This window comes from Homo sapiens, chromosome 6 (assembly GCF_000001405.40).
Source record: "Homo sapiens chromosome 6, GRCh38.p14 Primary Assembly".
In the NCBI taxonomy this organism is placed as follows: Eukaryota; Metazoa; Chordata; class Mammalia; order Primates; family Hominidae; genus Homo; species Homo sapiens.
Window position 1 is genome coordinate 90,626,596 of NC_000006.12, and position 17,136 is coordinate 90,643,731.

Genomic DNA, 17,136 nt, shown 5'->3' on the forward strand with positions numbered 1-17,136 from the left:
TGAGGCAGTAATTAATAGCCTACCAACCAAAAAAAGCCCAGGACCAGACAGATTCACAGCTGAATTCTACCAGAGGTACAAAGAGGAGATGGTACCATTCCTTCTGAAACTATTCCAAACAAAAGAAAAAGAGGGACTCCTCCCTAACTCATTTTATGAGGCCAGCATCATCCTGATACCAAAACCTGGCAGAGACACAACCAAAAAATAAAATTTCAGGCCAATGTCCCTGATGAATATAGATACAAAACTCCTCAATAAAATACTGGCAAGCCGAATCCAGCAGCACATCAAAAAGCTTATCCACCACAATCAAGTCGGCTTCATCCCTGGCATGCAAGGCTGTTTCAACATATGTAAATCAATAAACGTAATCCATCACGTAAACAGAACCAATGACAAAAACCACATGATTATCTCAATAGACTCAGAAAAGGCCTTCAATAAAATTCAACATCGCTTCATTTTAAAAACTCTCAATAAACTAGATATTGATGGAATGTATCTCAAAATAAGAGCTATTTATGACAAACTCACAGCCAATATCATACTGAATGGGCAAAAACTGGAAGCATTCCCTTTGAAAACCGGTACAAGACAAGGATGCCCTCTCTAACCACTCCTATTCAACATAGTATTGGAAGTTCTGGCCAGGGCAATCAGGAAAGAGAAATAAATAAAGGGTATTCAAATAGGAAGAGAGGAAGTCAAATTGTCTCTGTTTGTACATGACATGATTGTATAATTAGAAATTCCCATCATCTCAGCCCACAATTTCCTTAAGCTGATATGCAACTTCAGCATATCTCAGGACATGAAATCAATGTGAAAAATCACAAGCATTACTATACACCAATAATAGACAAACAGAGAGCCAAATCATGAGTGAACTCCCATTCACAATTGCTACAAAGAGTATAAAATACCTAGGAATACAACTTACAAGGAATGTCAAGGACCTCTTCAAGGACAAGTACAAACCACTGCTCAAGGAAATAAGAGAGGACATAAACAAATGGAAAAACATTCCATGCTCATGGATAGGAAGAATCAATATTGTGAAAATAGCCATACTGCTCAAAGTAATTTATAGATTAAATGCTATACCTGTCAAGCCACCACTGGCTTTCTTCACAGAACTAGAAAAAACTAGTTTATACACCATGGAATACTATGCAGCCATAAAAAATGATGAGTTCATGTCCTTTGCAGGGACATGGATGAAATTGGAAATCATCATTCTCAGTAAACTATTGCAAGAACAAAAAACCAAACACCGCATATTCTCACTCATAGGTGGGAATTGAACAATGAGAACACATGGACACAGGAAGGGGAACATCACACTCTGGGGACTGTTGTGAGGTGGGGGAAGGGGGGAGGGATAGCATTGGGAGATATACCTAATGCTAGATGACGAGTTAGTGGGTGCAGCGCACCAGCATGGCACATGTATACATATGTAACTAACCTGCACATTGTGCACATGTACCCTAAAACTTAAAGTATAATAATAATAAATAAAAAAAGAAAATCAAAAATTAAACTATAGACATTGTGATTATTATTGAATGTTAAAATAAAATGGAGATGTAGTACCAGACACCTTAAAAAAAAAAAAAAGAAAAAACTACTTTAAATTTCATATGGAACCAAAAAAGAGTCCATATAGCCAAGACAATCCTAAGCAAGAAGAACAAAGCTGGAGGCATCCCGCTACCGACTTCGAACTATACTAGAAGGCTACAGTAACCAAAACAGCATGGTACTGGTACCAAAACAGATATATAGACCAATGGAACAGAACAGAGATCTCAGAAACAACGCCACACATCTACAACCATCTGATCCTTGACAAACCTGACAAAAAGAAGCAATAAGGAAAGGATTCCCTATTTAATAAATGGTGTTGGGAAAACTAGCCTGCCATGTGCAGAAAACTGAAACTGGACCCCTTCCTTACACCTTATACAAAAATTAACTCAAGATGGATTAAAGACTTAAATGTAAGACCTAAAACCATAAAAACCCTAGAAGAAAACCTAGGCAATACCATTTAGGACATAGGCATGGGCAAAGACTTCATGTCTAAAACACCAAAAGCAATGGCAACAAAAGCCAAAATTGACAAATGGGATCTAATTAAACTAAAGAGCTTCTGCACAGCAAAATAAACTATCATCAGAGTGAACAGGCAACCCACAGAACGGGGTTGTACCCTATCCATCTGACAAAGGTCTAATATCCAGAATCTACAAGGAACTTAAATAAATTTACAAGGAAAAAACAAACAACCCCATCAAAAAGTGGGCAAAGGATATGAACAGACACTTCTCAAAAGAAGACATTTATGCGGACAACATACATATGAAAAAAAGCTCATCATCACTCGTCATTAGAGAAATGCAAATCAAAACCACAATGAGATACCATCTCACGCCAGTTAGAATGGCGATCATTAAAAAGTCAGAAACAATATATGCTGGAGGTAATGTGGAGAAATAGGAATGCTTTTACACTGTTGGTGGGAGTGTAAATTAGTTCAACCATTATGGAAGACAGTGTGGTGATTCCTCAAGGATCTTGAAGCAGAAATACCATTTGACCCAGCAATCCTATTACTGAGTGTATACCCAAAGGATTATAAATAATTCTAATATAAAGACACATGCACACATATGTTTATTGCAGTATTCACAATATTATTCACAATAGCAAAGACTTGGAACCAGTCCAAATGCCCATCAATGATAGACTGGATAAAGAAAATATGGCATATGTACACCATGGAATGCTATGCCGTCATAAAAAAGAATGAGTTCATGTTCTTTGCAGGGACATGGATAAAGCTGGAAACCATAATTCTCAGCAAACTAACACAGGAACAGAAAACCAAACACTGCATCTCGAACAATGAGAACACATGGACACAGGGAGGGGAACATCACCCACCAGGGCCTCTTGGGGGATGGGGGGCTAGGGGAGGGATAGCATTGGGAGAAATACATAATGTAGATGACGGGTTGATGGGCGCAGCAAACCACCATGGTACTTGCATACCTATGTAACAAACCTACACGTTCTACACATGTATCCCAGAACTTAAAGTATAATAAAAAAATACAAAAACCTAAACAACGTCTTGTAATTTTATATTATACATACAAAATGTGTATATATATTTTCAATGTGTGTTATTTTAAAAACTGGAGGTTTTAAATTAGAAGGGAGCTCCCAGTTTATCTAATTCAATTTTCCTCTTCAGAGGGTGAACAACCAAGGATTAGAATCTTTCATAACTTGCTCAGGGTCATTTGGTAGCACAAACAGAACTAGAATCCAGGTTTCCTGTTCCTCAGCCTGCAGCCCTTTCTTTGTTTTTGTATTAACTTAAAATATTAATATCATGCATGCAATATAGATTGTACATCTGTACATCTTTATCTTCCACCAATGAGTGCTGGAAGATAAAGGCAGAAATTTAATTCAGGTAAGTGTAATTTTTTTTCTCTAACAAAATAAAACATTCTTGTGATGCACATAAAGCACCAACAAAATCAGCAAATCATATCAATAATTCTAAATTCGAATATGACTTCCATCACTAACTCAGTGCAGTCTTTGATAGTTCAGTTTACCTCAATGACATGTACCCCATATATACAACAGAAAAAATAATGTCTTTACTTTCTGAGACAGGAAAAAAAGGCAGGGTTTTTTTTTTTTTTTAACTATTACCAATTGGAAGGGACTTGAAAATTCCATGTTAAGTACATATTGTAACGTTTTGATAAGAAGCAAATTATCTCAACTGCTAACAATAATGGTTAAACAAGGCAGAAGGTCTATTAGCATGATATTTTGTTTCTGTCTTTGATTTCAACTCTACCCTTCTAGACAGAATTAAATATGTTTTCTCTACTTATATTTTTCTGTCTTGACCAAATTATTGTTAGAAATAAATTCTGTTATAAAACTACAATACCTTTCCTGAACTTAATCAGCCAAGATAAACCATTTAAGTAATTTCTTCCTAAATCCCTGTCTTATCTGGATTGACAATTGACGTTGCTCACATTAAGTGGGTAATTACTTAATATGCATTATTTTCTGATATTACAGTATGACAAAAAATAAGAGAGCATGAACACTGAGGGTAAATTGTGAACAAAAATGCACAGCTATTTAACATTTTTGTGTGTACACATGTTTACTCTTTTGAAGGTTGTGAAGACAAACGTTCATTTCAGGTTAGAGAAATAAAAATGAAGAATGAACAAAAGAAATATGTTTTTGTAGTACCATTTCTTAAATGCTTATTAGGATAGTAAAATAGGCATAGCCCCAATCTGTATTTCATTATCAGTATATGCAAGCCTTAATACTTGATCCTTGTTTATAGGAACTAGCATTTGAATTTATTGATGAAAGTTAGTTTGCTGCATCTCGTTTGCATGGTCTGTTGCATAGAACAAATAAAATAAAATGCTTATTCTTCTTGTTATTTATTAAAAGACATACATTTTGATCTTGAAGGCATAGTTTTGAGTTAAAGAAGTATCTTTTAAGTAGGAATATTTCTTGCAATTAATAAGTTGGCACTTATTTTATGGTTCTGATTATATTTTTATTTTAACCATTAGAGGGCACATTAGTTCAAGAGAAATTAATGAAAAAGCACAACAATAAGACGGAAATAGGCTTTGAAGTGGGGGGCAGAAAAACTTTATATATTTAACTATGCTTATTTTCATTCATTTCATTGTCATTTGCAGTATAATTTATCCAGAAAATTTTTTCAATCTGAAAAAGAATTCAAGTATATATAGTTTCATATAAGAAATAACTCTTCACTTTTTTCTGCTAGCTACTACTCCTTGGAGAATGAGGTTGACCTAGTTGCATTTGACAAGGTTGACTGCTATGTGACCAAAGAGGACCTAATAAATCATGGCATTTGAAGAACATCCTGAGTTCACAGGTACGTATGATCAAGTTATTATGAAATAAGTATGAAGTAAGCAAATGCCAGTCCCTGGTCTTGTAGTTAATAATAATAATAAAAGGCACCTAAGTGTGAATGAATGCAGCTCAGCAACTAGGCTTCGCTGCAAATATTTATAACCTTTAAAATTTGGTACAAATTACAGAGAGAACAATAGATGGCCCTGGAGTGAACACAAGGCTTTATTTCACTGGAAAGTCTTGACTGAGTTCATAAACTGCCAGAGGACAGGCAGCTCAAGTGGCTTATGAATGACTGTCCAGTCTCAGAATGAGCTCATTTGTTTTCAATCTACAGCAAACTGTTATTATTTCTAATCAGTCTTTTGCTCTAAAGGCTGTAGGTTTTTAATCTGTAAAGGCTAAAATAGACACTAGCTAGTATTAAGTAATACTACTTTTATGATGTCAAGTTAAAAGATCACTTTAAATAATTAACTCATTACTTTATTTAGTAAAATTTATTGAGCACCTACTAAGTTTCAAGTTCTGAGCTGGGTGCTAGGGAATAAAGACAGATAATATATTGTCCCCAGCTCAATAACATAATTTTTTATTGTCCTGTTATTTATAGAGAAATAAATCAGCAAATAACTGTAGTACCTAACTTTATATATTAGCGCAAAAATAGGAAAGAGATTTATCAAACTTATTACAAAAAATACTTCGCATTTTTTTAAGGGAGGTGAGTAGTTAGGCAAAATCATTAGTATATACTATCTTCAGTTTAAGACTGCAGAACTGCTCTGTTAATATTTTTCTCTGAGAGTCAATTATGCAATAAATTGTAATTAGTAGCATAAAACAAGGTAATAATGTAATTAAAACCAAAATATTTACTTGCTATAGAAGATACTTTTATGCATCTTAATTCTGCTCCTTGCAAGCTAATAATACTCTATAGGAATTTCTGTGTGGCTTTTACATCTGGTGGTTTTGGAATTAGCATGTACAAAGAGAGCTCAGAATTATGCTTTAATTATGATTTGAATGATGATTTGAGACTGAGCATGAGTTGTCAACAGAATTGTGAGCTGAGGGAAAAAGAGATAAGGACCGTTAGTGGGATAAAAAGTATATTTGCAGTCACTTACTTTAAAGAGTCTTTTGTTTTAAAAGAAGTAATTAATGTTAGGAATTAATTGGTTCAGATTCTTGATTTTAAAGTTATCACTTGGTTGCTAAGATGAAGCCTTTTCAAAATTACTACACGATATGCAATGACAGGAACATTTCAGTTGAAGGTAGAAAACGTAATTGAAAAGCTAGCTTCTGAGTGCCTGCTTATCACCCTAATTGATAGACGAGACCGAGGAACTAAATGCTGTAGTTCAATACAAAATGCATTTAGCTGGATTTCACATTACTATGTGTGGTTTTTCTAAGAGCTAAACATTATTGCTGATATTCCGATACATTCTTGGGCTTTAGGTGGAACCTGGTCAGTGTGCATTAACTATTATAAAACAATCATGAAGTCAAAATTCCATGCAACAAATGGATCCAGGTTTAGTATCTAAAAATCTTTGAAGATTTGGATAACAAAATTATGGCATTCATAAAATTCATAAAATGCAGCCATAAAGAATAATGTTTCAAATCTATGTTTGTTGACCTAGAAAGCACATTGCAAAAAAGATGATACAGTGAGTCCCACTATTGTAAGAAAAATATGACATGTATAAGAATGTGAAAAATCAAACAGGACATACCCCAAATGTTAACAGTGGTCATCTTAAGCAGTGGGATTAGGGAGGTGTTCATTTTCTTTAGGCTTATATGTATCTTCCTAATTTTTCTGTAACAAATATACTCAATTATATAATAAAAAGGATGTATTAGTATCCAGTCTGCCCAACATGTAGCAGGAAATTTTTCATATGACTTTAGAATATTTAGTGATATTGCTGATATTTAGTTAGTCCTAACATATATTTATAACTCCTATTTGTTTATGTGTTCTCTGATTTTATATTTATATATTTTCTTGTAACATTAAAAATTTGGCAAAATAAAACACAGATAATACCTACTTTGTCTTAAACAAATGAGAGGATACAATGAATTTGGAAACAGTAAAAAAAAAAAAAAGGACAATTGAAAAATAAAGTTGAATTTTAGCTTTGCAAATATAGAAGTGAAAATTTAAGATAATATGTATAGGATGTGACCTGGGCATAGAAGAAGGCTGAGATGAAAGAAGTCCACATTAGACCACCTTTTGAATCTGTACATGGGCAGGAGGAAGATAGAACTATTGGGAGTGACCTTCACAATAGTCAGGACAGGAGTTGTGACAATCCTTTGAGAAAGATGGTGAGTCAGCTAACACCCTGGTGGTCTATTTCTACACGGTGTATCCCTTTTAGTGAGGAGAAATCTTGGCCCAACTGATCTGCTCAAGGAGAGTTTATTTTCTTATTTCTATTTAAAAGAATAGTTTTTGGCAGATGGATTCTCAGGGCATTTTGTATGTTTGGTTCAACTGTTCACACTGATGTGATGCCTGAGACGTCACATCAGTGTGAACAGTTGAACCAAACATACAAAAATCAAATGAGATGGGTGAATCTGGATGAAGTTCAGCAGGATTTTCCATTGATAGGGGGAGCAAAAATGACTCCTAAACTACTTACTTGAAAAAAGCCATACACACATATAGATAAACATCGAATAGCTCTTTGGGTCATCTCTATTCTGGGTCAGATGGGATTAAGCTATAAGAGAAGAAGATTGCCTTGCTAGTTAGTATTCATAGTTAAGCATGAGGTAAACGTTTATTACATTGTTGAAAGTAAATGTTATAAAATGAGGGCTTAAGGGAGGAAGTTATGTTTCTGGGGACACAGTATTAAGCTTCTTTCCCCCTTTTCTGATTAAACAAGAAACTCTAGTGGGTGTTTTATTTTTTTCTGCTTTATAGGTTTTCTTTATTCTGACATATGGAAAACAGCTTTTAACTACTAGTGAATAATCGATTTTTCATTACAATTTTATTAACAGTAAGTAATTAATCAGTTTCACAATTTTATTTAGAATGTTGGTTTAAATATCTGGCTGTAATTTTTTTCAGTCCAGATGAAAATCTGTAAACCAACCATGTTTCAAATTGGCCCCTTAACCAATGAACTGATTTTCTTAAGAGAGAAAGCTTAGAAATTTTCTAATTAGTTCTAAGACCTGATTTTCTATGGCTCACTGCTTCATGTATTCTACTTCTTCAAATTATGCTGTAGGAAATGTCTTTAGAGCTTGGTGTTTTCTATTGATCTTTACAATTGTTCTCACTAATTTAGAAGCTAACTGTGCAGTGATTTTTCAAGAATGCACTGGAGCCTTGAGTCAGCACATACTCCTGTCCACCAAGCTAGGGGGCAAAGATTCTTGTGGCCCCTCATCCTAAGGCTCCATGCATGAGAGTAGCATGCATGAACTCCAACTGCCAGTTCATTTCCTCCATGGAACTCTCCTATTAGCCTGCAGTTCGTGCCTTAAATGCCTCTTCCTCTTAAAGAGCTGAGAGGGGATTTTTGTAGCATGAGCTTACCTGAGAAACTAAAGATCATTAATTAGAAAGGTGCTTCTGGGCAACAGGAAAATTTTCACTGGAAAGGTTTCAAATCTAAGAAAGTAATTAATTTCTCTGCGGAAGAGGATCATGATTTTCTCTTCTGGTGCCCTTCACTATTGCAACTGAATGGTTTATGCCACAACAGAGGGAATTTGACTCCTCTCTCATTAACCCTCATAGTTTGGCTCCCTGTGTTCCATCTCCTTTTCTCTTCCATTTTGGCCTTCTAGGGGATTGGGAGACAATATTTTATTTTTTGTGAGGAAAAGTTAAGGAATATGTTTGAAGGAGTATGTGCAATACGTAGTTCTTTTTTGTTGTTTTTGTTTTTCTTTTTTTGAGATGGAGTCTCACTCTGTTGCCCAGGCTGGAGTGCAATGGCGTGATCTTGGCTCACTGCAACCTCCGTCTCCTGGGTTCAAGCGATTCTCCTGCCTCAGCCTCCCGAGTAGCTGGGATTACAGGCATGCGTCACCACTCTGGGCTAATTTTTGTATTTTTAGTAGAGATGGGGTTTCATCATGTTGGCTAGGGTGGTCTTGAACTCCTGATCTCAGGTGATCCACCCGCCTTGGCCTCCCTAAGTGCTGGGATTACAGGCGTGGGCCACCAAGCCTCGCCAAGCATATTCTTATGTTTCCTGCTTTCCCTCCTTTTTATACAAAGGTAGCATACTATATATACATTTTTTGTACTGACATAAAAATTACTCCGTATCAGTTCATACGTATTCTCTTCATTCTTTTCACTGTTATATCATATTTCACTGTGTGTTTGTGCCATAGTTAATTCATTCAATCTCTTACATTAGGGCTTTTAGGTACTTTCCAATATTTTTTAGTTGCAAATAATGTGGCAATAAATAACCTCATATTGTTAGAGGTGCAACTTCCGGGTAAAATCCTAGAAATGGGATTGTTGGATTAAAAGGCAAATATGTATGCAGTTTTGTTAGATATTGTCAAAGCCCTCTCTATAAGGGTTATATCATTTTGCATTCCTGTTGGTGTTGTATGAGAGTGATTTTCTTCCCAAACCTCATCAACAGAGTATATTGTCAAGCTTCTAAATTTTTGCCAATTGGAAGGGTGAAACATGGTATCTCAGTATAATTTTAATTTTTATCATCTACTATGAGTAAAGTTGAACATTTTTTTCATATGGTTAGAGTCATTGTTAAGTCTTTCTTTTTTGGTGAGTTGACTGTTCATGACTTTTGTTCACCTTTCTATAGGATTTTTGTTCATTATTTCTTTTTATATCAGAAATACTAATTCTTTCTCTGCACTATATCTCACAGATTTTTCTCCCAATTTGGCATTTGTCTTTTGATTTTGCTTGTGGTGTTTTATGTCAAGAAAATATCTTTATTTTTATGTAGTTAAATATATCAATTTTTTTGAATTGTGTCCAGATTTTGAGTCATGGTTATTAAGTCTTTCCCTACAGCCAGGTTATAGAAGTTAATGTGTTTTCTTCTAGTATTTATGTTGTTTCATTTTGTTTTGTTGTATGTGTCAAGAGTGAATTAAATTTTATCTTTTATCAATGGCTATTAATTGTTCCAAAGCAATTTATTAAAACATTCAATTTATCTTTACCCCAGTAATTTGAGAAACCACCATTATAAAATATTTTATCAAATACTTTATCACATTTCTTTAAAAAAAATGTTCATATATAATTGAGTTTGTTCCTTGACTTTTTATTCTAGTCCGTTGGTCTGCCTGTCTATTCAGTCACCAGTACTACACTGTTCCATAGTACATTATAACATCTAGTAGGGCTCGTACCCTCTTATAGCTTTTTTCTTTCAATACTTTCCAAGTGTTCTTGCATGTTTACTTTTTCTTTATTTATAAAGCCCAGTCATTTTAGAAGGACTATTTTATTCAGTTTTTCCATGTATACAGTTGGATATTCTTTTTCGGGGGCATTGGAGGGGCTTGAGATAGGGTCTTGTTCTGTTGCCTAGGGTAGAGTGCTGTGGCATGACCATAAATCACTGCAGCCTCAAACTCCTGGGTTCAAGGGATCCTCGTGGTTCAGCCTCCCAAGTAGCTGGGACTACAGGCATGCACAACCACACCCAGCTAATATTTAAAAATTTTTTTAGAGATAGAGTTGCCTTGCTATGTTGCCCAGGTCTCAAACCGCTAGCCTCAAGTGACCCTTTGTCCTCGGCCTCCTGAAGTGTTGGGTTTACAAGTAGGGGTCACTATTCCTAACTGTGACATTTAAGTTATCTCTTATTTCTAGAAAGTTTTTCTTGATTATATTTACAAATTTTGGTTCTGTTTTATTGTTTTGTGTTTATTCTTCAGGCACTCCTATTACATGTATGTTGGACCCCCTTCCTCTCTATTTTCTCTTTTAAGCATTTTTCTCTTTTACTCCTTTTAAAAAAAATCTTATTTTCATTCTCTTGGTTGTCATTCTTCCCTTTTGACATCTCTAATTAAATATTTATGTAAATGTATTCTCTTTTGGGCATCATGTAATTTATTCTTCTTTTCTGAGATGGTTTGCCTTTTACTTCAACTTCTTTCGGTGTTTAATCACTGTTTAATCACCTCCTATGCATATTTTCCCTGCAAGTTTCATTTTATTAAAAAAGGCTTCTAGATTTTGAATTTTTACATTTAGTCTCTAAAAAAAATTCAAAATGCTCATTTAATGCTATTTAATTCAGCTGGGAGTATTGTATTATACTCTTCTATCTCATGGCTTTTCTTTTTGAGAGGAGGGGAAGAATTTTCATCAGCTGAAATGCATTATCTCTTTTCCTTGTACAGTAGCTTTGTGTGGAGTTAGCCTTAACTTTTCTATTCTGAGGCATATTTTGGATAGGGTTCCGAATTCAAAAGTGCCTTTCCTGAGGTATAGTAATGTGCAATCTCTTTAATCAATGATGTTGGTAGTGGAGGTATTGGTGTTTACTTTTTCTCTTTTTTTCTGCAGAGTTTTTAATATCTTCTTCTTCCTTATTTATTTTTCTTCAAGAAATAAGGGGCCATGCTTCTCAGAGGCACCATCTTTTCTCTATTTATGTGATTCTCCCATAGAAGTGTGCTTCTTGGATATTTTCATGCTCTATCCTACTTACCTCTAAGCCCCTTCCCTGCAGCTGGTGCTATGAATTACCAAGTCTTGTTTTTCAGTATTTTATGACTTGGTCTTGGACTTTCTCTTTCTAATTTTGTCTGTGCTTAGCTTCAGTCCTCTGTTCTCCCCTCCTCTTTTTCACTGAGTCTCTTATGCTTCCCCTTGTTCACTCTTCAAATTCATAAGCTTGCAATGGTTGGGGAGCTTTGTTGAAATGTGGTGTTTATTTCTTTACTTATGGTAATTTTAAGTTCATGGCATTCTGTGTCTCTGAGCAATGTAGATGGGCCGTGTGCAGTTTTGTTTATATTCCTTGTTAATTTTACTTATTTTGTTTAAAAGAGCATTTGTGGAGAGATTTGGATTCAGGCGAATGTCATTATTTCCAGACCTGGAAATCTTCATCTGAAAAGATACTTTTAAATTAACTATTTCAAAGAGTGAATATGTCAAGCAGTTCGATATGTTATGCTCCTTGTCCCTTTCCAGGGAAAAGGTTTTCTTATTAATTATGGGAAAACTAAAATCCCACTAAGATTCTCCCACTAAAAGCTTGAGCTTTATTTAGTAGAAGCAGTATAGAGGATGTGGAAAGTTCTGGAACTGGACATTATTTCTTCTTCTCTTGGATCTCTTTGAAAACTTTCTTCTGAAAGTGCTCTCTTTTCTTTATCATGCTCAGCAGATGAGGTTTGGGGGTGACTTGTACCAACGCTGGTACTCCAGGATGGCCAATTAGGAAAGAAAACCCAGGCTAGGTGTTTTATGTCAATTCTAGTTTAGTGTCAGAGAAAATCAAAATTTATGCATTTTGCTTTCTTCTCTTTCTATAGAAATGGTAAGATCTATGGTGTCAATCTCAGGGTGTGGGCTTAAGAGAAAGCAAGTGTGAACCTGAATCCATGGACTTTAGTTGGATGGAAAGATAAGTTTTTGAGGCTCATATGTGGTCCATCACAACTCTATAGAGAAAAGTATTGAGAAAAAATTGACACCATTTTCTTGCCCCCACCCCATGTAGACACTTGCCTCCCATCTCCACTCAACTTTTATACTATTTTCTCTATTCTTATAAGATAATGATTGTTTCATCCTGTTGAATACCAATTGTTTCCATCTGGGCCCTGATATAGCTGCTGCTGCATCCGCCAGTTTCTTCCATTCTGTCTCCTGAATCTTCAACATTCATTCTATATCAATCACTTGCCCTTTAATGGTTTCTTCTTGCCCTACAAACCTGCTTAAATTTTTATCATCCTTAAAAATCTTTAAAATAAATTCTTCCCTTATGTTACCCTATAGCTACCATCTAATCTATCTCTTCCCCTTCTTATTTAAAATTCTCACAAGAGTGGTCCATATTTGCTGCATTTAATTCCTCTTCTCCCATTTATTTCTCTCCTCTACGTTCTTCTACCTGTGTCCTAGGATTCATCAAAATGCCTCCCTTTAATGTCACCCATAACTTCCAAGTTCCAATTCTAACAACAGTGTTCAATTCTATCACTAGAATTCTGTGGTCTCTGGCTTCTATGATATTGCACAAACCAGTCCTTACAGTTTTTTGACTGGGCCTTCCTGGTTTTTCTCTGTGAACTTTCTTTAGGGGAGTGACCAGAGGGACATTCTATATGATCACTGCATTCTTAATAACCCACACTAATCTTTTGCCTCACTCAGTGCCTGAAAGGGAGCAGAAGCTCAACATTATTAAAAACACTGCATACGTAAAATAAAATCTATCTTCAAGCTGTGACCTTCAATGTTTGACCATTACTGTAATTAGGCCTAGCTAGGGCTATGGGCCTCAATTACTCTCTAGTCTCATAGTTCACTCAGCAGTCATTTAAAATGAGGAGATTTCACAGACAAATCTAGATTTTAAACTCTCTTGCTTAATACGAAGCTCCAGCAATATTGGGCTGGCATTTCTTCAAAGCAGCTTGTCACAAAATTGAGTAACTACTACTCTCTTATTGATAGGCATGTGCTCTCAAGCTTAATTTGATTCATTAATTTACCTTTCCTGCCTGGAGCATTATAATTTGGCGCCCTTATTTAAATCTGTTATCTATACCCAAACTTCACTCTATTATCCTTGATATCTCAAGGAAGTAATGATGACTCTGGGTAGGTGTCTGATTAGAAATAAATGGACTTGGTGTACTGAACACATTTACTCCTAATAGTTAGAGCTTCCATATATGTTGATTGGTTGACTTAGCATGCATGTGACTTATAAAGGACATTAGGAAATTTTAGTCCAGAAAAGGAACTAGAAAGTCAAGTCCCAGTGATCTGTGTTTTAAAGACAGGACCATTACAAGCATACAATAACACTATGTTAGTCAGTGCAGGTATATCATATTAAAAACAAACAAACAAAGCACAAAACATAAAAATTTGAACGTATGAAGCAAAGACATTATAGCTTGATAATTTTTGTTACACATGTTTCAGTTCTTTTTATAAAAGGAACTAGTGCTATGAACTTTTGAGTAGTAATTACCAAGCCCATCTAAGGTATAATTTTACTTACAAATAACTGTTGGAATTTTTTAATTGAATTCAATACTAACACCCATTATTTTAAATACTAAGCATTTAAATGAAACATATAAGTATTTCAGAAAAATCTATTGAATTATTTTGTTTTAATACAGCAACTATGCTTATTCCATCTTCTGCTTTTTAATTTGGGCTCATATATCTTTATATAGTTGTGATCAATGAGTTCTATAACATTGCTTTCTACTTTTTCATTTAGCATTGTTTTATATAAGCATTTATCTGCCTATATTTCATTTAAACTACTTATTGGCATCATAATATTCTCTCAAAACAATATGTTGCTGTGCCTTATTTTGGAGGCTTATATTGTCTTCAGTTTTTCAATGGTGTAGTAATAGTAATACAAATGTCTTTTGATAATTAAAAGAAGTTTCCTTGATTTTCTCCCATTCCTTCTTAAAAAATTTTTTTCTTCTGCAATCATAGCCACTGTAACCCTGAATACTTGGGCTCAAGGGATCCTTCTGCCTCAGCCTTCTAAGTAGCTGGGACTACAGGCATGTGCCATTATGCTAGGCTAATTCTTTTATTTTAATTTTTGTAGAGATGGGGGTCTCGATATGTTGCTCGGGGTTTTCTTCATATCTGGCCTCAAGCTATCTTCTTGCCTTGGCCTCCCAAAGTGCTAGGATTATAGGCAGGAACCACCACACCCAGCCAAATTTTGTCATTTATTGTCTTTTTTTATGGCTTCTTTAGCTGACCTTGGACCTTAACTGTCATCCAGGTCTCTGAATCAACCCACTTGGAAATGTTACATTTCTGGTGTCATTCAAGTGTTGCTTTTATTCAGAGAATTCTCACAATGCATAAATGCAGGCCCTTATGAAGTACATACTGTGGATCAGGATCTCTTTCAGGAGATACAGTGGTAAACTGAGTAAGGTTTCTGTCTTCACAGGCTATCCAGTCTAGAAGAGGCATTCAAGACATTATAGACATTCAAGTACTCTTGCAATACAATGATATGGGTTTTGTACAAAGAAGACACAAAGAAGAGGTTGGTTAATTCTACTGAGTGAGGGATGATCAGGAAAGGTTAAGTAGAGATGGTCATATTTGGTTTCAGTATTGAAATATAGACAGTTGTTCACTAGCTAGAAGGAATGTAGCGTATAATAGGGGAGATGTGGAGAGAAGGGATTTCAAGTAGAGAGAGTTACCCAATCAAAGATACTGAGATGCAAACAAGATAGACTATTCAGACAATTCCATATATTCTTCTTGGCTGGAACTCTTGAGAAGGAAATAAGGGTACGATTATAGGGGAGAGGGGCTTAAGCTCTATATAAACTATGAAAATAGTAATTAAAGAATTACAAGTACAGGTATAACATGATAATGTGATTTGCATTTCAGAAGATCATTATAATAGTTATATGGAAGAAAGCTAAAACGGGATCCAGGCCAGAGACAGTGGAGCCAGATAAGAGACTATTGTCATAAATATTAAGGAGGAAAAATCAACTAGGATTTGGTCACTGATTGGCTGCAGTCAATGAAGTAAAAGAAAGAGGTAAAGATGAGTTCCAGGTTTCTGACTTCAGTGATAACAAATATTTGTCCAGTGAAAATGAAAGGCATGGATCATGATTCTAACCAAGATAGAAAATAAAGATATTGAATTTAGTTTTGGCCAGTCTAAATTGGAGGTCCAGTGTCAGATGAGTGGTTTGATATATGCTGATACTGGAATTCTGGAGAGAGTCCTGGGCAGAAATTATAGAACTGTGCTGTCAGCCTTGAGCATGTCCTTATTTCCAATTGTTGTAGGACATGTCTACCTAGATATTCTACCATCACCTGAAATCCAGCTTAATCTAATTCGAACTCATCAGTTTTTCACCCAAGATAATTTTCTTAACTCTCTCACAATTAACTGTGGCACTAAGACACCCACCTCTAGTCTCTAAGCAGTAGAGGTAAGCTTAGACTTTTCCTCCTCATTGTTATTGGTAAACTTGCCTATTATCATGTTCTGTAATGTCTTTCTTCAAAATTTCTCCAGTGAAAATTTCTAGGTGTCCAGAAATTTAGGCTTCAGTCCTGATTCTGTTGCTAACTGGGAAGTTGATCAACTTGTACAAACCATATAATCATTCTAAGTCCTAGCTTCTACCTCTGAAAAAAGAAGGACTTTGAATTAGTCAGCGGATTCCCTTCCAGATATTGAGTCATATATGTTCCTTCATTATTCTGAAGGGATTCTTTGTGATTCGTGTGTCTCCAAATGGATGTCCCGGCTTTTGGTGTCATTCCCACTCAATCTTATGCTTATAATTACCACCTGAAGCTTCCTTAAATGCACATCTTTCAAGAACTAACCTAATGGCTTCCTTTTGCCTATCAAGTCTGCCTTGTTTGTCAGCTTACCAAGATTCTACAAAATGATTTCTACCTAGCCAAATGAATCCATCATTACTTTTTAACATCATCCCTGATATACAGTCAGTAGACTTCTGACTGATTTCCCCTCAGAATTTAATCATGATCTTTACCCCCCTTGAAAATCTAGTACTCTTCCCTCTGAATCCTAAGTCATGTTTCAAATACCAACTCAAGTCCTGTCTTCCAGGGGGATTATCCTGAACCACTCCAAACGTCAGTGTTCTTGCCTCTGTTTCCAAGAGCATTTGTATTCTGTGGCATGATTTACCACTTAAATTTATTTATAGGCTTGGTTTTGAATGATTTCTGTGTGGGGACCACCTTCTGTGTCTGCCACAGCCTACCAGAGTGTGAAGCCCAACACACCATAAGTACAGGTTGGTTTACTGGCTTTCAGGAACACACATGTTACAATAAGGGACAGGCCATAACCGCAATGTTTGAAAAACCAAAACAAAATGACAAAGCCAGACTTCTGTCGGAGGGATGACTTGTAA

The 17,136-nt window shown here is 35.4% G+C and overlaps 2 long non-coding RNA genes across 2 annotated transcripts in view; both read left to right on the forward strand.

Annotated features, from left to right (window-relative positions):
- Nucleotides 1-4,800: 4,800 nt before the first annotated feature.
- The window catches only part of LOC107986623 (uncharacterized), a 324,476-nt gene continuing 312,140 nt past the window's right edge, over nucleotides 4,801-17,136 (forward strand). Inside the window, exon 1 of the long non-coding RNA XR_001744259.1 lies at nucleotides 4,801-4,981. This is a non-coding gene — a long non-coding RNA (uncharacterized LOC107986623). The remainder of the gene's footprint in view (nucleotides 4,982-17,136) is intronic.
- LOC105377893 (uncharacterized) lies at nucleotides 15,144-16,089 on the forward strand. The gene is made up of 3 exons (XR_942782.2): nucleotides 15,144-15,251; nucleotides 15,611-15,767; nucleotides 16,025-16,089. It is a non-coding gene; the product is annotated as an uncharacterized LOC105377893 (long non-coding RNA).